Here is a 22,691-nt window from a genome sequence, read left to right on the forward strand (position 1 = left end):
AATTCATCATTTCATCTCATTATTTCATCTCATTTCATTTCACTTCATTTCATTGTTTCATTTCATTTCATCACTTCATCTCAATATTTCATTTCGTCATTTCACTTCATCTCATTTCATCATTTCATCTCATGATTTCATTTCATCTCATTTCATTTCATCATTTCATTTATTTCATCATTTCATCATTTGACTTCATGTCATCATTTCATCATTTCATATTTCAACATTTCATCTTTTCATTCCATCATTTCATCATTTCATTTCCTCATTTCATCATTTCATTTCATCCTTTCATCATTTCATCTCATCATTTCATCCTTTCATTATTTCATTTCTTCTCATTGTTGCATTTCGTCATCTCATTTCATTTCACTTCATCTCATCATTTCATCATCTCATGATTTCATTTCATCTCATCATTTCATCTCATCATTTCATCTCATTTCATCTTTTCATCTCGTCATTTCATCATTTCATTTCATCTTTTCATCTCGTCATTTCATTTGATCATTTCATCAATTCATCATTTCATTTCATTTCATCATTTAATCATTTCACTTCATTTCATCATTTCATTTCATTTCATATCATTTCTTCATTTCACCATTTGATCTTTTCATTTCATTTCATCATTTCATCATTTCACTTCATCATTTCATCATTCCATTTCATTTCCTCATTTCATTTCACAATTTCATTTCATCATTTCATTTCATCATTCCATTTCATCATTTCATTACATTTCATCATTTCATCATTTCACTTCATCTCATCATTTCATCACATCATTTCATTTCATCTCATCATTTCATTTCATCTTTTCATCTCCTCATTTCATTTAATCATTTCGTTTCATTTCACCTTTTCATCTCATCATTTCATTTCATCAATTCATCATTTAATTTCATTTTTTCATCATTTCATCATTCACTTCATTTCATCATTTCATTTCATCATTTCATATCATTTCCTCAATTCATCATTTCATCTTTTCATTTCATTTCATCATTTCATCATTTCATTTCATTTCACTTCATTATTTCATTTCATTATTTCATTTCATTTCATTTCCCCATTTCATGTCATCATTTCATTATTTCATTTCATCATTCCATTTCATCATTTCGTTTCATTTCATCATTTCATCTCATTATTTCATTTCTTCATTTCATCATTTCGTTTAATTTCATCATTTCATTTCATCATTTCATCATTTCATTTCATTTCAGTGATACATGTATTTAATTGCTAATGCGATGCCCAGGAGACACCCTATTTCCCTTTGTAAAACACCTCCTTCAACAAAAGGCAACTTCTCATGGCTGGCTAAGTCTACAGGGATACCAGCCTCTCTTCAACCACCCAATTTCATTTAGAACCTCAAACGGCATCTCAGTTTCATAAAAACCTAAAACATAAACACAACACTTGGTTGTAAGTGAGCCAACAGTTTCTTGTCTCTTTCTCTGCTCAAGGCTTAAGGCCGTGTCTCCCCAACTACATTCAGTGGAAGAAAAGATCCCATGGACAAATAAGTTTGAGAATTGTTGTTGCAGGAAGTCTCAACACTTTCAAAACACAAATCCTCATCCGCAGGGACCTTCAAGAGGGAGATGGCTGATGCAGCACAACTTTCTTTCACAGGAGTATCTTGCAGAATACAGTATGAGATACAGAAAGACTGCATTGAGTCTTTTTAATGGCCCGGGCCTTGGTGGGGGTGGGGTAGGAGCTCTCCAGATAGCATCTAATGAGTAGGAACATTCAGGTGGCTTTTTTTTTACCTTATTGGCAAAACTGTGTGTACACCATGAATGAAGCTGGTCTCCCTTATCCACGTCAAAACTAAACCCAAATTAATTGGCGAAATTGGGACTCAACACCTCCAGGAGCCACGCAGCAGAAAGCCCCAACACACTTTAAATTAGCTTACCTCATCATATTTGAGGAAAGCAGAACGCTTATGACCAGTATGCTGCTAATACAAGTCTACAGATAATGCTGTATGAAAAACTAGTTTTCCCAATCATAGCTGGCATAGTCCACATTTTGCATTACACTTTCCCCCCTTTTTTTAAATTTTAAACACAAGTCTTTTTCTCTTCTTTTTTTAAATTTTAATTAAATTATACAAGACGGAGTCTCAGTATGTTGCCCAGGCTGGTCTTCAACTCCTGAGCTCAAGCGATACAACAGTCTCCGCCTCCCAAAGTGCTGAGATTGCAGGCCTGAGACACTGTGCCTGGCCTTAAACACAAATCTTAATTCATTCTTACAATTATTCTGAGGTTACAAAAATGGAAGTGGAAGAAAAATGGCAAGTAGGTAGGCTGACTTCGGCTTCATTATTTGGAAGGACAGTTTGCTCGGTTAAAACACACTACTGCCTACAAAGGCCAAGACAACAGAAAAATACAGACTTACATAAATGGATTTTATATGTGACAGCAGTTTGAATGGAGACTTTTTCAATGCAATGAGAAACAGCTGTGCTTGGGAATAAATGACAACGAATTTTTTTATCTCAACAGCTGTCCTGAGACCATGTCTCTACATCTCTACCTGCATTCTGGAATCAGGGAGAAAGCCAAAACGGACAACAAGACACTAGATCAGCAGTGTCCAACCCTTTGACTACAAGGACTTTTCCACCTATCTTTGGTGGTGGGTAGCATGAAAATTATGCACAAACTTTTTTTTTTTTTTAACCCCATCAGCTGTTGTTAGCATTAGTGTATTTTATGTGCAGCCCAGGAGCATTCTTCTTCCAATGTGGCCCTGAGAAGCCAAAAGACTGGACACCTGTGCACTAGATCAAAAGGCTACTCCTTCTGGAAGCAATTGTAAAGAATTTCTGACATTATCTTGACATGAAAACCAATGGATAGTGGGACAGAATGCAAAATCTTGAAGAATTTTTCTTGTCTTTTTTTTTTTTTTTTTTTTTTTGAGTCACGGTCTTGCTCTGTGGCCCAGGCTGGAGTACACTGGTGAGATCACAGCTCAGTGCAGGATCAAGTGCTCCTCCCGCCTGAGCCACAGTAGTAGCTGGGACTACAGATGCTCACAACCACCCCTGGCTAATATTTTCTTTTTTGTAGAGATGGGGTCTCACTATATTGTCCAGGTTGGTCTCAAACTCCTTGACTCAAGGGATCCAGGAAAGGATAACAGGTGGGAGCCACCACACCTGGCTATGTGCATGAACTTTTAAGACAAACACAAGGCTCCACAAAAGTTAAGGTTTATCCCACCTAATTTCCAGAGGGATCTTTTGGTGCAAGGCTGAGAAGCCCTTAAAAGTACACAGACAACTCCAAAGATTCAAGACAGTTCATTCGGGCTGAGCCAGCCCACTGGGCAGACTGACCTTCAAAAAAGACCTACCCATGACATACACCAGATGGCTCTCCAAGAATCCCTTCAGTCCTCAGGGTCCCTAACGTACTGGACAGAGCTAGGAAAGCAAACCCATTTGCTTCTTCCTGCAGGAAACCCTTTGAGGTTAAGACCCCACAATCACATGAGGATGGAGTGGCTCACCCTCAGTCAACAGGCCAGACTCAAGGTGGTATAATGTCTTAACCACGGGTGCGGGCCTCCAGGTCTGACTCCCAACTCAGTTCTTCTTTAATAACCACACTTTGTTAATTTTCCTTAACAGGGGTTCCTGGCAAGTCATTTCTCCCTCAGGCCTTCGGTTTCCTCACCTACAAGATGAGAGGGCTGGACCAGATGGAAATTCAGGGGGTAAGGGGATGTCCTCGCGCAGCCCACCCCCACCCCCACGGGACCCTGGAGCCTCCATCCCAGTTCCCACCACACACCCGCTCCACAAATCCTGCCCAAGGTGAGGGCTGGTCCCGGGTCCTCTGGCTGCCGCATCAGCGAGTGCAGGAGGGAGGGGAAGCCTCCAAGGGGGTGACGTGGGCTCAAGGGTGCAACTCGGCCAGGAGTGAACTGGGGCCCCGAAGGAGGTGTCCGGGCTGCTCCTGGAGCCCAGCCCGGGTCCCCGAACCCCTTACCTCCAGGGTCTGTATCTCCTGCTGGGTGAGGTCACTGGACACAGCGCACTTGGTGCACAGCCCGCACAGGCTGCCAATGAAGATGACGATGAGCTTCTGGAGCTGCCCGCACTGCTGCAGCGCCCGGCTGGCCGCAGCCCCTGTGCCACCCTCCGTGGCCGCCGCATCACCCCCACCACCACCATCCTTCTTCTCCCCCATCGCCTCCGCAGGCAGCGCCGCTCTATGCAGGCCACAGGGGCCTAGGCAAGGAGCCCGGGGCGCCGGCACCTAGGCAAGGAATCCCTAAGCCAGGAGAGCTGGACCTGGAGCACCCCTGGGCGCTGCCCTTGCCAGGACGCCAGTAGAGCTGGCAGCCGAGCCTGCCGCTCCCGCCCTCAGAGCCGCGGCGGCGGGGACAAAAATCCTCGGCGGCGGGGGCAAAAAGTCGCGGTGGCAAAAAGCCGCGGCGGCGGGGACAAAAAGCCGCTGCGGCGGGGGCAAAAGGCGGCGGCAACAGCGGCAAAAAGCCGCGGGCGCAAAAAGCGGCGGCAACAGCGGCGGCGGCAAAAAGCCGCGGCGAGGAAAAAGTCGCTGCGGCGGGGGGGCAAAAAGCCGTGACAGCGGGGGGCAAAAAGCCGCGGCGGGTAAAACGCCGTGGCGGGTAAAAAGCCGCGGCGACAAAAAGCCGCGGCGGGCAAAAAGCCACAGCGGCGGTGGGGCAAAAAGCAGCGGTAGCAGAAAGCCGCGGCGGCAAAAAGCCACGGCGGCGAGGGTGCAAAAAGCTGTGTCGGCGGTGGGGCAAAAAGCCTGGTCGGGCAAAAAGCCGCGGCCGCGGCGGGGGGCAAAAAGCCGAGGCGGGCAAAAAGCCGAGGCGGGGTGGGGGCAAAAAGCCGCGGCGGCGGTGGGGCAAAAAGCCGCGGCGGCGGGTGGGTGGCAGAAAGCCGCGGCGGGCAAAAAGCCGCGGGGGCAGGGTGGAAAAAGCCAAGGCGGTGATAAAGCCGCGGCGGCGGGGGGGGGGGGGGACAAAGCCCTGGCGGGCAAAAAGCCAGGGCGGCAAAATTCGCAGCGGTGAAGAGTCAAAAACCCGCGGTGGTCAAAAAGCTCTAGCGTTGAGGGGGCAAAAAGCCGCAGCGTACAAAAAGCCGAGGCGCGGTGGGGGGAGAAAGCCGCCGCGACGGGGCGGGAAAAATCCGCGGCGGCGGGGGGACAAAAAGCTCCGGCGGCGGGGGGTCAAAAAGCCGCGGCGGCGGAGGGCGAAATAATGGAGATGGGGTAGAAGGCTGGCACAGCTTGGCATTGCTGGAGTGGATGTGACAGGAAATGTGCAGCCAAAGACAAAAAAAGATGTAAGTAGGCTTGACTCATTGAAGCTAAGAACCCAGATGTTATCTTGAGGGTATTAACTAATAAGCAGTTTAAATCAGAATGGCACATTCTGATTTGTTTTTTGTATGTTCACATTTGGCAGGCATAGATACTGTTTGAAGAGAGAAAAGTCAGTAGAGAGAGGTAACAAACTTAAATATGTGCCAAGTCTAGAAACAAGAGACCAGGGGGATAGGGACCTTTCAAAATAAAATGCAAGATGTGAAAACTGGCTGGGGGATGAGGAAAAGGCAGGTCTTTAAGGTCCATCCCTGTTTTGCTTTAAGTTGTTAGGGGGTGGTTTTATCACATGTTGTAGAATATGTCATTTCAGTTTTGAACATCTTGAGTTAAATTGTCCTAACATATCTTATGAATTTGATTTTCTTCCCTGGGAAGCTAATATTTCAAACACTTAAAGAGTATATAGATTTCCAACTTGTATCCCGTTTATAAAACTATCTCTAGGCTGCTGATTTCAGGAGGAGGCTCATGAATATTCTCTTTGCAGAGAATATATCAGGAGTTAACAACAGCTTCAATATTTGTGGACGACCAGTTAACTAAGCCACCTCTTAGTGTCTTTAGTTGGGAAATCTTAGCTGAAGATATTCAATAATGAACCAAGAGTGACTAAAAAATTCAATATTTAAGTATATTTCATTGTAATTAATTTGAATTGAAATAGCCATATACAGCTAGTATTTACTATATTGAACAATGCAAATAAGAGGAGAAAATTAATAACCATCTCTAATACCACATGCCAAAATCCTCATCAATTTATTCTAGCTAAAGGAGTTGATCAGAAGCAGTAGTTGAAAGCATCAACTAAACCAGCTGGGGTTAGTTCACTGTCATTCTCTCAGAACCATCTCTTCTCTGAACAAAACAAGTACAAGAGTTCATTGTGAATCTGCATTCTCCTTGCCTATTTTAAGGTTTTGATGTTGACACAAATTTGTGAAATCCCTCCTGTGGTGTGATATTTCGTTTTCCTTGCTTTCTGTTAGGACAAGAATGCTTCAGCTCTTCATTTAAAATTATGTTTCTCCCTCCTAGGTTGAGTGAACTTAGAATGCATTCTCTGACATATCCAAGATTTTGTTAATATGAATTTCGGGAAAAAAGCATACTTAATTAGCTAAGACATCTTATTCTAAGCTTGACCCTATGTTCGACATCTTTTGAATTTCTAGTTGCATGGGCTGCTCTCTGACACTGGTTAGTGACCTGGAAGCTATATTAATGTTAGGGGAGGTGGTGTATGAGCATTAGAGGTATCCTTGCAAGGAAAGACTTGTATTATCTCAATATGTCTTTTTTTTTGCACACAAGAAAGTCAATGTCTGAGTCTTCTAAAATCTTCCTATTTCCAAATTGCAGATTATGATTGATTCCTAAACAAAGACCTAATTTTTGACTCAGAGACGTGGCAAGGTAGTGAATCACCGTTATAATTTAACAATCTTCAAGATAAAATTATCTCTGATATTTAGATTTTACCCAATTATTAAGATATTTGGGTGTTTCGTTAAGAATGGAAAACTCTAGTCTCTTGAGCAGAGACTATAAAGGCCTCAGATGATCATTTTTAATTTCATGCTCTTTTCTTTAACACCTTCAACACAGTTGGAAGCAGCTGATATTCCCCAGAGTTGTTGTGTTTTTTAAACCAAATGCATGGTTCAGTGGTAGAAAACTGGGCTGATCCAAGCTGTTTTCAGTAAACACTTCATTTCAGGTGACCTATTTCATATTAAATAATCTGTAGATCCTGTCTTTGAAACTAACTAGATCAGATAACCTACCCTGGATTTTCTCCTTTTAGGGTCTGTGAGCTGCAGTCACTTTTGTGAAAATGATTGCAATGACAAGATAGAGTTATAGATGGGGAAAATGTTTTGACTAATTTAAGCATAGTGATATTTCATATGAGAATTTAAGTTACACACATTTGAAAATTATAATGGAGTCTCTTGGCTGAGCTGTAAAAAAAAAATGGCGTTTAGGCTAAAAAGGGAACTGCTACCTCTCCTAAAATCAGAAAGATGTTACAGTAATTCTCCATTCTCTAGAATTATCAAGAAGCACCTTTGTGATGATTTACTTTTGCTCTTGCGAGTGTGAGCCCGTGCAGTCGTGGAACCATCAATTAGAATGGTGGCTTTCTGATCCCAAAGTCACTCGTTCTGAAAACAATATTTTTCATAAATTTGAAAGTGAGAAATTTTGATCTTGCCATTCCCAAGTAACTCTCTTAATAAGAGGCATCAGCATGCTTCAGTGACAGCTGTCACCTTCCATTGCTGAGAGTCATCTTTGAGTTCTCTATTTCACTCCCTACACTCCAATTTAGCTGCAGTTCTCTTGGCCAGTCCTATGAAATACATCCATGGCCTAACGACTTCTCACCACTACTACCACTCATCCTGACAGCATTCTCACCTAAGTCACTACCTTTTTTCGCTGGATTAGAGTAGCCTCCCAATTTATTTGCTCACATAACCTATTTATTCTACACAGTGCACCAGATACACCCCCTTTGAAATGCAAACACAATCATATTATACTCTGGTGAAATTATCTCATATATTCCTATCGCATTTAAAATTAATTCAGAATCATCCCATGATTATCAAAACCCTACATGCTCTTCCACAACATGGTTTACTTCCAAGATATCTCTTCAACATTTTTTTCACTGTACTGAATTGGTGACTAATAGTCATATTTTTGTTTTTGCTCAAAAAGTCTTGACTTGTAAGTTTCTCAGTTTCTCCTTTATCCACAGGTAACTCTTTCCTCATAAGGTGAATTGCTTGCTTCCTTGAGTTCTGCTCTCAAAGATACCCTTCATTTTCTACCTAATATTAATAACTTTAATCATTCATTATTCCATTACTATGCTCTATAGTGTATACAATTTCTGTTCTTTGTCATGTTATTAACTAAATTATTTATTGGGTCCAGTAACGTATTCCATAAATATTGTACACATAAAAATTGTGTTATTTTTATTCCTGTATGCTCAGCTGCCCAATAACAGTCTGAGGATTAACATATTTGTTAAATGCACAAATACATTCTTTCACAAATATTAGTTTAATAATTTTATATTAAACTCCCTCTATACTTACAATATGAATTAGATAATTCAGAATAAACATTCCATTGGAAAAAGCTACACAATTTGTTATAAAACATCCTTAAAAGCATCAGAAAGTTAATACAGCAATGAAGAATTACAGGACCAGATTAAGAATGGTATGAAAGCCTGTTTGTGACGCTTATGTTTGGGTTATCTCTTTATTTGAGTGACTATAAATCTCAAAAGAGAACTAAAGGGAGAAATAACCGTATCTACTAACATGGTAAGGGTACTTAAACATCTCTTAGTAATTGAGAAAATTGAAAGAAAAGAAAAAGGAGAAAGGGAGAAAGAGAAACAGTGAAAGGGATAATGAAGGAGAGAAAGAAGAAGAGAAAGGAAGAGGAAGAAAAGTAAAAAGGAGGAGGGGGAAGGAGGAAGGAAGAAAGGTGAAAAGAAAGAATGGTAAACTTTTTAACAACAAAATTTATCCTTCTAGAATATGAATGTTGGTCTATTTGATGATGTCCCACAGATTCATTAGTCTCTGCTCATTGTTTATTTTTTATTCTTTCTGTTTCTGAGAGTCAGTATTTTCCATTTTCTTCTCTTCAAGTTCATGGCTTCTTCTGTGTGTGCAAATATACTCTTAAATCCCTCTGGTGATTTTTAAATTTTTATCATTGTAGTTTTCCACTCCAGAATTTCTGTTATCTCTTTGCTGATATTCCTACTTTTTAATATTTTTTCTGATTCCTTTATTTCTTTGTTTATGTTTTCCTTTTGACATTTGAGTATAATGAAGAGAGTTGTTTTAAAGTCTTTGTCTGGTAAGTTTGATGTCTGGGTTTCCTTAGGGATATTTTCTGTCAATTTATTTTGGTCCTTTGAATGAGCCACACTTTCCCATTCTTTGTATGCCTTGTAACGTTTTTGAAAACGGACATTCTAATAATTATAATTACTATGTGGTTACTCTGTAAATCAGACCCCCCCCCCCACAAACACAGTAATGTTTTGTGGTTTTAAATTTTCTTTACTTATTATATTGTTAAGGATTTTTTTTTTTTAGTGAAATTTTCTAAAGTGATTTACAAAACTGTTTGGTTTATAAGGTGTGGTCACCGAAGTCTTTTTGTTTCCTTAACAAATGTTAAGCTAATGTTTTGACAGTGATTTTCTGGTATGTCAGGAACCAATCAAACAGGCAAATACAAGAAAAACAAAAAGAAAAACAAGTAATCATTGTCCAGCAAAATATGTCTCTAGGCCATGCAGACTGGCTTTGTGCTGGGTTCTTTAAAGCCGGCACAAAGTGTGTGTTCACTCTTGCACTGAGTGAAGTTCAAGTTCACTCTTGCACAGAGCTTGCACTGAGGGGAGGGATCGGCCAAGGTAAAAGCGTAGTGTCTTCTTATGACATTTGTCAGCATGTGGCTTAACCTATGAATACATGTGACTTTGTAGACTCTCCCATGTATGTGAATGATTTTGTATGTCTTAGTTTTTGAAATACTCTTCTCCAACTTTTCTTGCTCTGCTGAAGGTGATCTACTATATGTGTAAACTTTAATTTTTGCCCTAAGCATCTGTGGTTTGTTAGGTCTCCTTGCAGAGTTTCTTAATAATGTCCATTCCTTATATGTTCTGTATTCTAGCAACACAGAAAAAAAAAAAGCCTTTCATGAGTCCTTTAGGTATCCCCCAGACCAGTCAGAACAGACACATAATAATTTGTGGTTAAGATCTTCTCTTGTTCCTTTGGACCATGGACCAGGCTTCCTCACTGGGAACGTGGGCTTCTGACACTTCAGAACTGCCAATTTGCTGGGGCAAAGGCAAGTTAAAAATGTAGTAAAGTTTTCCAGTTGTCTTTTTCTTGAGTCTGCTTTCACTTGGATGTTGTAATCTTTTGACCATTTTCCAGAGTTTTGGCGAAGTTTATTCGGACAGTTTCTCTTAGTTGTGTGATGTTTCTGTGGGGAAATGAAAGATTGCAGCTTTCTCCACTGCCATTTTGCTGATGCTCCTCTTTTGTCAATTTTTGCTTCATGTTATTATGCTTTGTTATTAGTTCATGTATTAGTTTTCTAGGGCTGCCATAACCAAGTAACACAAACTGGGTGCCTTGAACAACATACATTTATAGTCTTATAATCTTATAGTCCTGGAAGCTAAAAGTCTGAGATTGAGGTGTCAGCAGGGATGGTCCCTTCAAGGGCTATGAGAGGAAGCCTGCTCTGTGTCTTGTTTCTCACTTCTGGTGGTTTAGTGGCAGTCTTTGGCATTCCTTGGCTAATCTCTGTCCTCATAATCACATGGTACTCTCCCTGTGTGTATGTCTCCCTCTACTCAAATTTCTTCTTTTCACAAGGACATCAGTCATATTGAATTCAGGCTCATCTGATTGTATCTTAACTTGATCAGCTGCAAAGAACATATTTCCTAATGAGGTCATATTCAGTGGTTAGAATTTCAGCATCTATATAGAGGAAACAATTTAGCTCCTATCTGTGCATACATGATTGTAATAGCTATGTCTTCCTAAAGCGTAGTCCCCCTTTTCACTAGAATATAAATTTTTAAAATCCTATTCATATTTTTAATAGTCTATATTGTGTGTTATGAGTATAATGATTTCAGTGTTCTTATGATTGCTCTTTGCATGATATTTTTTGTCATCTTTTTACTTTCAATCCATTAGTATCCTTGCATCTCAGCGTATATTGGGATCACTTGTTTTAATCCAGTCTGACAATCTCTGCTTCTGGAATGGATTTTAATCTGCTCACATTTAAGATTATAATTGGTATAATTCTATTTATGTCTGCCATTTTACCGTTTGTTTTATATATTTCTCAAATATTTTTCTTTATCGCTTTATTTTGCAATGAAAGAATATTTTCTAAAATAGGGAACTTTAGATTACTAATGAATTATTTTATTATATATTTTTGAGAATTTTTGTTGTTGTAAGTTTACCCTATATGTATATGGAAAATTAATTATTCAAACCATCTTCCAATCTACACTAGTAAACTTTTAGTAATACATAGAAACAACATTCTTATATAAATCTCTTTTGTTTCCTCCATTTTAAAGTATTATCACTTTACACATTACATCTATTAAAGTTACAAAGCCAACAATACATTTTAGTAATTATTACTTTACCATCTAGAGTTATTACCTTATCGCAATACATTTTTCTTCCAACTACCTCCTTTTTGATGTTACTGGAAAATATGTTATAGACGTGTTCCATTTCTACATGTCAAATACTCAGCAATACATTCTGCACATATTATTATTATTATCATTGAGACGGAGTCTCCCTCTGTCACCCAGGCTGGAGTGCAGTAGCACAATCTCTGCTCACTGCAAGCTCCATCTCCCGGCTTCATGCCATTTTTCTGCTTCAGCCTCCCGAGTAGCTGGGACTACAGGCGCCCACCATCACGGCCGGCTCATTTTTTTGTATTTTTAGTACAAACGGGGTTTCACCATCTTAGCCAGGATGGTCTCGATCTCCTGGCCTTGTAATACGCCCGCCTTGGCCTCCCAAAGTGCTGAGATTACAGGTGTGAGCCATCGTGCCCGGCCATTATACACACGTTATTTAATAAACAATTTATGATAAAGAGAAAAAATGCATTTTTACTGTCTTTTATAATGTCAATATTACCTATACCAGTGTTTTTTTAAAAATGTGGATTCAAGTGACTGTCTTCTGTAACTTGCTTTTAGCCTTAGGAATTTATTTTAGAGTTTTTTTTATATAGTAGGTCTGCCAGCAACAACTTCAGTTAATATTTCTGTTTATCTGGGTAAGTCTTTGTGTTATCTTCATTTTTGAAAAATAATTGCTGGATAAGGAATTCGTGGCTGAGAGTTTTTTTTTCCTTTGCATCTTTTGAATATATTATTCTACTGCCTCTTGCTTCCATTGTTTCTCTTAAGTCAGCTGTTAATCTTACAAAACATAGGTGCTCAAAAAATAAACATGTGCATGAATATTTACAGCAGTAATATTCATACAGTCAAAAAGTGGAAACAATCCATATGCTTGTTGACTCATAAATGGACACCCAATTTTCAGCTATAACAAAGAATGAAGTACTTATATATGGTATAATATTGGTGAAATTTGAAAGCATTCTGTTAAGTGCACAAAAGGACAAATATTACTTGATTTTATTCACATGAAACATCAGGAATTGGCAAATCAATTGGGATATAAATCAGATTAGTGGTCATTAGGGCTCAGGGAAGCAGATTAGGGTGTAACAACCTTAGGTATAATGGGTTTTTGGAAGGGACATGATGAAATTGCCCTGGAACATTGTGAATATACTAAAAGCAAGTGCATTGTATGCTTTAAAATGGTGGTTGTTAATTTTATATTATGTGATTTTTACCTTAAAAAACAAAAAAGAGAAAATAGCCTTACTCTATACATAATAAACTCAAGATATGTTACAAATTTACATGTGAAATCCTAAATACTATAATATTTAAGGAATAGCTAAGTAGAATAACACTGAAATTTAACATAATGAAACATTTCCTTAGAAAAGAAAAAAGCACAGTAATTAAAAAGGGAAATATATTTAATATTTTTTCTCTCCATTAAGCATGCCATTAACTGAGTAAAAAATCAAGCTGCAATTATGTAAACTACCTTTTCTAAAACCATAAAGAAAAGAAGAAATAAAAAGGTATTTGGGGAAAAAATCCAAAGGTACAGTCAACTACACAAAAAAGCTTAGTCTCATTAATCATTATGAAAATGCAAATGGTAACTGAAAGAAGATAAAACTACAATTCAAAGAGAAACCCTAAAATTTCAACCCCCCAAAAAGTCTGGGTTTTGAAGATCTGGGATGGAATAGGGTTCCAAACCTGACAACAATGAAAGACCCAAACTAACTTCAAAGTCATGACTTTATTTTTATAGCAACGAGGTTGCCAAGAACTGAGTCAAAATGTGAGGGAAAACAAGCACCTGCAAGGCGAAAGAGGACGGATGCACTTACATAGGACAGACGCAAATAGGCACCACCATGACAAGTAAAGCTGGAATAATCAATAAATTCCTAAACACAAAGTGGGGCTGGTGAGATTGGGAGACGGCTGACAGCTGCAGAAGTTGGGAAAGATCCATCATCTTGAAAACTTTTTCCCCACAAACCCACTGCGATCTCTCAAGCAATTGGTAAGGAATCCAAGAGAGTCTGTATATGACACAGATCAGGGAGAGCAGAACACTTGGGAGGTGACCAGGTCTTGGGGGCCGAGCCCTTATGAATGGGATTAGTGCCTTTATAAAAGAAGCTCAATGGAGTTGTTGTGTGCCTTCCACTATGTGAGGACATAGAAAGCAGGCACCACCTATGAACCATGAAATGGGCTCTCATCAACACTGAATTTGTGAGCATCTTGACCCGAGATCTTACAGCCTCAAGAAATGTGAAAAAAGAAATATCTGTTGTTTTTTAGTCACCCGGTTTATGTTATTTTGTTATAAGAGTCCTAATAGAGCAAGATATTCCACTTAATATGTAGGGGAAGGCAACAAAAACTGCCACACTTAGGATCCTCCTGATGCTGGGAGTATGAAAACAGGAAAAACAAAACAAAACTGCTCTTGAAGGTGAAGGAGGAATATCACTGAGCTCACCAACACAGCCAGGAAAAGAACGGAAGTGTGAGAAGGCTACATTCCTGAGACCCTGAGAAAAAGTACCTGCATAAGACTGAGATGAAATTACCTACTCTAGTTATGATTGAAATCCCAAAAAGAAAAGAGGGAAAAATAATGGAGCAAAAGAAATATTTTTCAAAATAACTGCCAAAAATATTCTAAAAGAAGTGACAGAAAATCAAACTTCAAATATAGGAAACTCAGAGAATGTCAAATAGAACAAAAAGAAATAAGAATCGCATCTTGAAAAATCTTTAAAAAATCAAGTCTAAATTTTATATCTTGCTCCAAATATATAGAGATATAAAGAGGTTATCATCAAGATATGGAGAAAGCCATATCATGGAAACACTAAAATAAGGCTGTGGAAGGACTACATTGATATTAGACACAACAGAGTTCGGAACAAGAAATAGTATCAGAGATGAGAGATAATAGATAATAGAATAATCAATTCTCAAGAAGATGTAATCATCCTACTAATTAGGGTATGCAGCTCACAACAGAACCTCCAAATACATGAGGTAAAACAGGAAAGAAATCAAAGGTGAACTGGAAAAATCCAAAATTATATTTGCCGACATCAACACTTTTGTCTTAGAAATGGAAAGACTAGGCACTAACTCAGTAATCATGTGGAAGATAAGAACAACAATATCACCAACAAGACATCCAATCTTCAATGGCAGATACTCTTTCCTTTCAAGTGAAAAAAAAAAAACAGTATGGCATATTCTCTAACAAACCCAGAATTTCTAATATTTGCGTTCTTCCTTCTTTCTTTCCATCTTCCTTTCTCTTCTCTTCCCTTCCCTTGCCTTCCTCCTTCCTTTCTTCTTTTCCTCTTCCTTTTCTTTTCTTTTTTCTTTTCCTTTCTTTTTCTTTCTTTTTTTCTCCTTCCTTCCTTCTTTCCTTCTTTGTTTCTTTCCCTTATTCTTCCTTCCCTAATCCCTCCCTTCCTTTCTCCCTCCCTTTTCTTCCTTCTTTTCTCATATTCTTTCTTTCTTTCTCACGTTCTTGCTTTCTTTCCTTTTTTGTTCCCTCCTCCCGCCCTCCATTTCTTCCTTCCTCCCTCCCTTCCTTTCCTCTTTTTCTTTCCTTCCTTTGCCTGTTTATTTTCTTTGTTTCTTTGCCTTCCTCCCTTTTACCATTCTCTCTTCCTCCTTTCCATCCTCCCTTTCTCCTTTCTTTCTTTCTCTCTCTCTTTCTTTCTCTTTCTTTCCTTCTTTCTTTCTTGTGTTCATGCTTTCTGTTTTCTCCCTTCCTGCCTTTCTCCCTTCCTCCCTCCCTCCCTTCCTTCCCTCATTTCCTCCTTCTTTTCTTCTTTCTTTCTTTATTTCCTTCCTTCCTTCTTTCCTTCCTTCTTTTTCTTTCTTTGTTTTCTTTTCTTTCTTTCTCTTTACTGCAATTCATATTATTTTAAAAAAATTAGAAAGGGAGAGAGAAAAATATAGAACGCTTTAATCTGCAGGTAAATAAATTATTTCTGCTGTAGACCAAAGAATGGCCTCCCAAAAATTTTCATGTCCTAATTCCCAGAGTCTAACATACAATTATGTTAGGTTGCACGGCAGTGTGAAATTAGATTTCAAGTGAAATTAAGGTTGCAGAAAAATGATAGAGAGATTGTCTTAAATGGGTGGGATCAATGAAATCACAAACTTCCTTTTAAATGAAAGAAGAAGGCAGAAGAAAGGCAACCTTGGAGGTGGTGGCATGAGAAATTACTCAACATTACTGACTTTTAAGATACAAGAATGAGGACCCAGCGCGGTGGCTCACGCCTAATCCCAGCACTTTGGGAGGCTGGGGTGGGTTTATCACGAGGGCAGGAGATCGAGACCATCCTGGCTAACATGGTGAAACCCCATGCCTACTAAAAATACAAAATATTAACTGGGTGTGGTGGCAAGTGTCTGTAGTCCAAGCTACTCAGGAAGCAGAGGCAGAAGAATCATTTGAACCCGGGAGGCAGAGGTTGCAGTGAGCTGAGATCGTGCCACTGCACTCCAGCCTGGGTGACAGAAGGAGACTCCATCTCAAAAAAAAAAAAAAAAAAAAGAAAAATAGGATATAAGAATGAGGTCATGTTCCAAAGAATAAAGGTGGCCTCTGGATGCTGAAAAATATCAAGTAATAGATTATGCCACATAGCCCTCAGAAAGACTGCAGCCCTACCCAAAACTTGATGTTAGCCCTGTGAGTTTCATTTAAGGCTTCTGTACTACAGAACTGTTGGACTAACGGTCACTTTATTGTAAGACATGACGTTTGTGGTAATTGGTTACAGCAGCAAGAGGAAGTTTATATTGTAATTGTATCATGAAAATGAGAACCATAAGTTACAACTGCTTTTAATACAGCACTTGGATGTTTGAAATCACGTACATGGAAATGATCTCTATGTGCATGAGGGAGGAGAGCAAATTGATGCCAAAATAATGCAAATGCAAATCTTACACTCATTTCTATGTAGGTTTCATTTAATCTTTGAAATTAAAATGAAATTAAAAGATTGTGATCTTTTGATGAAATTAGACTAAAATGAACAATAACAAAATAAGAACTTACTTACATTCTTTATATGGTCAATAAAGAAGTGATAGTGGAAAAAAACAAGATCAAATGAAGGTGATGATTTAGGAAGTTGGAAAGATAGCTGAAACTACAAAATGGTATATAACCAGTGAACCCTTAGACACACTGATTAATGAACTTCAGCTTTTGGCTTGGTGAGAGCATAAAATGAGAGCAGCTGAGCTTTGCCAATTTGTAATCTCCTTGTGGAAAAACAGGGGAAAACACATCTCAGCCTAATAAGATTTATCTACTAAAGAGTCTAGACTTGATCCATTTGTCCTTGTAATTCAAAAGCTAATTCAAATACTGATTTGATGTATTGTGTGAACAACCATTGCTGATTATCATCGCATACCTGGCATTCTCTTGTATCTGATATCTAAAAGATTTGGTAATTCCTGGACTTTCTCTTTTCAAACGCAGTACGGTTTAATTTGAGTCTTAGAACAGTTGTCTTTGAGAAATTCTTCCCTCTACTGCCTCTGTGAATGGGCATAGCATGGTTGCATACATACTGTCACTCCATAGAACATTTGTTAAATTAAAGCCAAAGTTTAAAGCAAGAGCTTTAACTTACTGGTTTTACTAATGGTTTCCTCCCCAATAGCCACAACAATATTGATACCCTCACACCTTTTAACATAAAGCTTGGTGTTGTCTATTTTTCAGATGCTGTCATCTATATGATCTCAGTATTTTAAAAATCAGCTTCCAGCCCATATGGTGGTTCATGCTTGTAATACCAGCAGTTGAAGAGCCTGAAATGAGAGGATTCCTTGAGCCCAGGAGTTCACAAGCAACCTGGGCAACATAGCAAGATCCAGTCTCTATCAAAAGTTAAAAAAAAAAAAGTGTTCCTATTTCTCCACATCCTCTCCAGCACCTGTTGTTTCATGACTTTTTAATGATTGCCATTCTAACTGGTGTGAGATGGTATCTCATTGTGGTTTTGATTTGCATTTCTCTGATGGCCAGTGATGATGAGCATTTTTTCATGTGTTTTTTGGCTGCATAAATGTCTTCTTTTGAGAAGTGTTTGTTCATGTCCTTCGCCCACTTTTTGATGGGGTTGTTTGTTTTTTTCTTGTACATTTGTTTGAGTTCATTGTAGATTCTGGATATTAGCCCTTTGTCACATGAGTAGGTTGTGAAAATTTTCTCCCACTTTGTGGGTTGCCTGTTCTCTCTGATGGTAGTTTCTTTTGCTGTGCAGAAGCTCTTTAGTTTAATTAGATCCCATTTGTCAATTTTGTCTTTTGTTGCCATTGCTTTTGGTGTTTTAGACATGAAGTCCTTGCCCATGCCTATGTCCTGAATGGTAATGCCTAGGTTTTCTTCTAGGGTTTTTATGGTTTTAGGTCTAACGTTTAAGTCTTTCATCCATCTTGAATTGATTTTTGTATAAGTTGTAAGGAAGGGATCCAGTTTCAGCTTTCTACATATGGCTAGCCAGTTTTCCCAGCACCACTTATTAAATAGGGAATCCTTTCCCCATTGCTTGTTTTTCTCACTGTTGGTGGGACTGTAAACTAGTTCAACCATTGTGGAAGTCAGTGTGGCGATTCCTCAGGGATCTAGAACTAGAAATACCATTTGACCCAGCCATCCCATTACTGGGTATATACCCAAAGGACTATAAATCATGCTGCTATAAAGACACATGCACACGTATGTTTATTGCGGCATTATTCACAATAGCAAAGACTTGGAACCAACCCAAATGTCCAGCAATGATAGACTGGATTAAGAAAATGTGGCACATATACACCATGGAATACTATGCATCCAAAAAAAAGGATGAGTTCATGTCCTTTGTAGGGACATGGATGAAATTGAAAGTCATCATTCTCAGTAAACTATCACAAGAACAAAAAACCAAACACCGCATATTCTCACTCATAGGTGGGAATTGAACAATGAGATCACATGGACACAGGAAGGGGAATATCACACTCTGGGGACTGTTGTGGGGTGGGAGAGGGTGGAGGGATAGCATTGGGAGATATACATAATGCTAGACGACGAGTTAGTGGGTGCAGCGCACCAGCATGGCACATGTTTACATATGTAACTAACCTGCACAATGTGCACATGTACCCTAAAACTTAAAGTATAATAAAAAAAAAAAAGTGGGCATGGTGATGTGCACCTGTTGTCCTAGCTATTTGGGAGGCCAAGGTGGAAGGATTGCTAGAGCTTGGGAGGCTGAGGCTGCAGTGAGTAGTGATTGCAACACTGCACTCCAGCCTGGGCAATGAAGCAAGACCTTATCTCAAAAAATATATATAATAAAAATAAAAATCAGCTCTCATTGATTTCTATGTAAATATGCCCAGGTGATGTCCATATAGACATAAATAATAATATTTCTGACAATGGGTCCATATGATCTTCAAAATGTAAAATGCCTATCTGTGTAATTGACTGGTTAGTCTCATTAATGAATATAGATTCAATTCCACTTTCTTGTTCTAGATAAATTATATAATCTAGCTTTTCATTTCACTTATTTACTGATAACAACAGGAAGAATGACAAGATATCCATTTTGCAAAATTACTCTGGTAGGAGTAAAGATGAAATAATGACACAATTGCACAGAAACCTAGAAAAAAGTATGGTCTTCTGATATTCTATCACATCACATACTAAAGGCCTCATAAAACTCAGATACTTTATCTAAAAATGTTATTTTCATCATAGGAATGATCAAAGCATGAGTCCACAATTGCATTAAAATGTGCTTGTATCACAAGCACAAAAGGAGGGGAAAACATCCTTACTGATATTTTCAACGTATGCTTTACTTTTCATCAATATGAACCTCAACTTGATATGATGCAGATTGAAGGAAATCACCCATAATTCCGTAATAAATATAATTTATTGTCCAGTAAAGGGTATATTAAAAATCATATTAAAAGTCATGCAGTGAAGTTGTCCAGGGAAATCAAGACTTAACAGTCTCACTCTGACAATAATGAACAGGGGGATTCCCTCAAGATAGACTAGGACATGACCCCACACTGGCAGGTAGTAGTACCAGAAAAGAACGCATGGAAAAACTTTACCTTATGCTTGAGGTAGGGACCAGGCTAAAGTGAAAGCCAGACCTAAAATTCTATCTAAAATAAATCCACAATCGAAGAAAATATGTGGTGTACAGGCATAGAATGTCTTTACTGGATCATTGAAATAGTAAGATAAATTCAACTTTTTACATTGTTTTCTTTTCCTCCAGTTAGGGCTTGAGGTTTGTCTCTGGAGAGTGACTGACAATTGCAGCCCTGCCTTTCTGGGGTTCTGGTCAGGGGGTTGTGGATGCTTAACATGTGCCTTTCACAGGACACTTCCTTACCCCAGCAGTGGCCAGGTGTGCATCCCACGACCAGGCCTCCCTCTCACAGAACATCTGTTGAGACTAGGAGATGCCTAGTGACTGTTGCCTGACCTGTGTCCTGTGTATTTCTGACAAGAGCCACTCTCAGAGACCCTGGCCAGGAAGAGAGTTAGGTTCCAGTGTAGGTCAGCTCAGACACATGGAGGCCACAGAACCAAACATGGGAAATCACAGAAGTAGGTTTATTACTCACAGATCCAGAGAGAAGAGGGTAGCTGAGAAGAGGGTTTAGCTGTGTCCCCAGCCAAATCTCATCTTGAATTCCCACATGTTGTGGGAGGGAACAGCTGGGAGGTAATTGAATCACGAGGGCAGGTCTTTCCCATGCTGTTCTTCTGATAGTGAATAAGTCTCACAAGATCTGATGTTTTTATAAAGGCGAGTTTCCTGCACAAGCTCTCTTGTCTTGTCTGTTGCCAGGTGAGATGTGCCTTTCAGCTTGTGCCATGATTGTGAGGCCTACCCAGTCATGTGGAACTGTGCGTCTATTAAACCTCTTTCTTCTGGAAATTACCCAGTCTTGGGCATGTCTTTACCGGCGGTGTGAAAATGGACTAATACAGTAGCACACCTCATAGGGCTGAACAAAATGGGGAAGATGAGTGGGGAGCAGGAGAGAGAAAAGGGGTCTGTGGGACTCCAGCCTTTATTGGGCCCAGAACATTATCCAAATAAGTTTTCCACGGGGCACTAGTCGGTGGGGTGAGTGCCAGCAGGCACACTTCTTGACTCCTGCTGCAATCGAGCAGGTCACTCTGGCGTGTGGGGGCTGTCCATGTGCACTGTGAGGTCTGTGGGGTGAGTCAGGTAGGTTGTATCCAACGGTTCCATAGCTGGTAGTCACCAGGAGGAGGCAACTGTGTAGGGTCAATATCTGGGCCAGCCACACTGAGGAACTGTGAGGGTTAGAACTGGAAATTGTCAAGGGAATCCGAACCCAGCTACCATATGAGAGAGTTCAACTTATGTTCAATGTGAATGCCATGGCAATATTAAAAGGTACGAATTCGCTACATACGTGCTTGAGGTAAATAGGAGAAACCTAGAATTTATGTAAACAGTGAGAAGATTGGATGCGTTTTATGTCACATATTTTAATACTAGCCGTTTATTATATATGTCAATCCATCAGGCATTCAGAAGTACATGCTTATGAAAATTTTTTGCACCATCAGACAAAAGACAAGGGTAGAAGACATTTGTAACCCTATAAACACTAGTAAATTAAAAACAGAAGGACCTTTATGTCCTAACATATCTGTGTTGTGAAAGGCTGCCCTGTGAAATACGGGATTCCTTAAACATATTTTAAAAATCATAGGTGTCAATATTTTTTAGAAATCCATTTAAATTTTCTCTTGTTATTTTACAATGCCTATTTATTTATATAGTGGCTCTGCTGATTTTGATGTATATCCTAAACTTTATATTTTCTTTAAAGGATGTTTTATACAACTTTATGTAAAATGTTTCAGTATCTTCACATTATTTCCCTGTCCTTTTGTTTTGCTCTTATATGGTGTTCTTGAGTCTTTTCTCTGGCTTTTCAAACCTGGTAAGACTAAGACACTAAAGGAACTTTGCCCGTGGTTTTGTAATGCCTTCCAAAGCACATCTTAAGCTCTGGTGCATACAGGGGTCTCCTTTGAGCTCTGTGCTTTTGAGATCCCATATACCTAAATTCCAGTACTCCAAATCAGTACTGCTCAGTTTTAGTGACTAAGTTTAAAAAGGTATTTTAATAGCAAGTTAGTTTAGTGCACTCTTGCTTCTTTCTCGACTGCTTGTATACATGTATATTCCTTTAAATGAATCTTGGAATTTATTTAAAAATTTTAAATTATACTAATGAAACTGTACATTGTTGTGAATTCATAAGTGAATTTGGAAAGAATTTGTCTTTATGATACTAAATCTTTTTTACCCAAGAATCATATGTGTCTTTATATTTATTCCAGTCTATATTTATATCACTGAGTAAATATATAGAAATGTAGATACATACAGCTGTAGTTATAGATACAAATATAGGTATAACATGTTAAATCTATATCTATCCCATATAACATATATACATGTTATATGTGTGTGTGTATATATACATATTATTATGTTATTAAAGAGCTCCCTTAAAATTTTTCTTTTATTTCCCATATAATTTTAGGTCGAGCTTGAATTTTCCTTGTATAAACAAGCAAATGTTATACTAGTTTTAATACTGATGTTTAGACATTGTATCTTATTTTAGCATTGAATATTTTCACAATTAGTATAAATATTATCTAATAATAATGTACCTGTTAAAAATATTTAAAATTTTACCTTTGAATTATTTTATTGTTGAATTAAAATTCCTTTAATATGATAGTAAATTTCTATGTTATGCTCTCTCTATGCATATGCTAATTAATCTATCCACTTCTCTCTTTGTAGTGACATATGAAAATCAGGCCTCTCTTCTAATGGACATACACATGTTTGCATATAGAATATCAGACTCTTCATAGCATTTAAAATCTTTAAAGACATGAATATTGCCTT

The 22,691-nt window shown here is 38.7% G+C and overlaps 1 pseudogene, besides 1 other annotated feature; it reads left to right on the forward strand.

Moving 5' to 3' along the window:
* The first annotated feature begins 3,720 nt into the window (after positions 1–3,720).
* Positions 3,721–5,003, forward strand: LOC101060048 (uncharacterized; annotated as a pseudogene).
* Positions 14,546–15,205: an enhancer, noted in NCBI's record as "NANOG-H3K27ac hESC enhancer chr16:32832865-32833524 (GRCh37/hg19 assembly coordinates)". NCBI's record gives its function as "activates a minimal SCP1, AML or CMV promoter by ChIP-STARR-seq in primed H9 embryonic stem cells {active_cell/tissue: H9 hESC(primed)}" and the evidence as "EXISTENCE:reporter gene assay evidence [ECO:0000049][PMID:30033119]".

The sequence above is a fragment of the Homo sapiens genome, chromosome 16 (assembly GCF_000001405.40).
Source record: "Homo sapiens chromosome 16, GRCh38.p14 Primary Assembly".
Taxonomy (NCBI): Eukaryota; Metazoa; Chordata; class Mammalia; order Primates; family Hominidae; genus Homo; species Homo sapiens.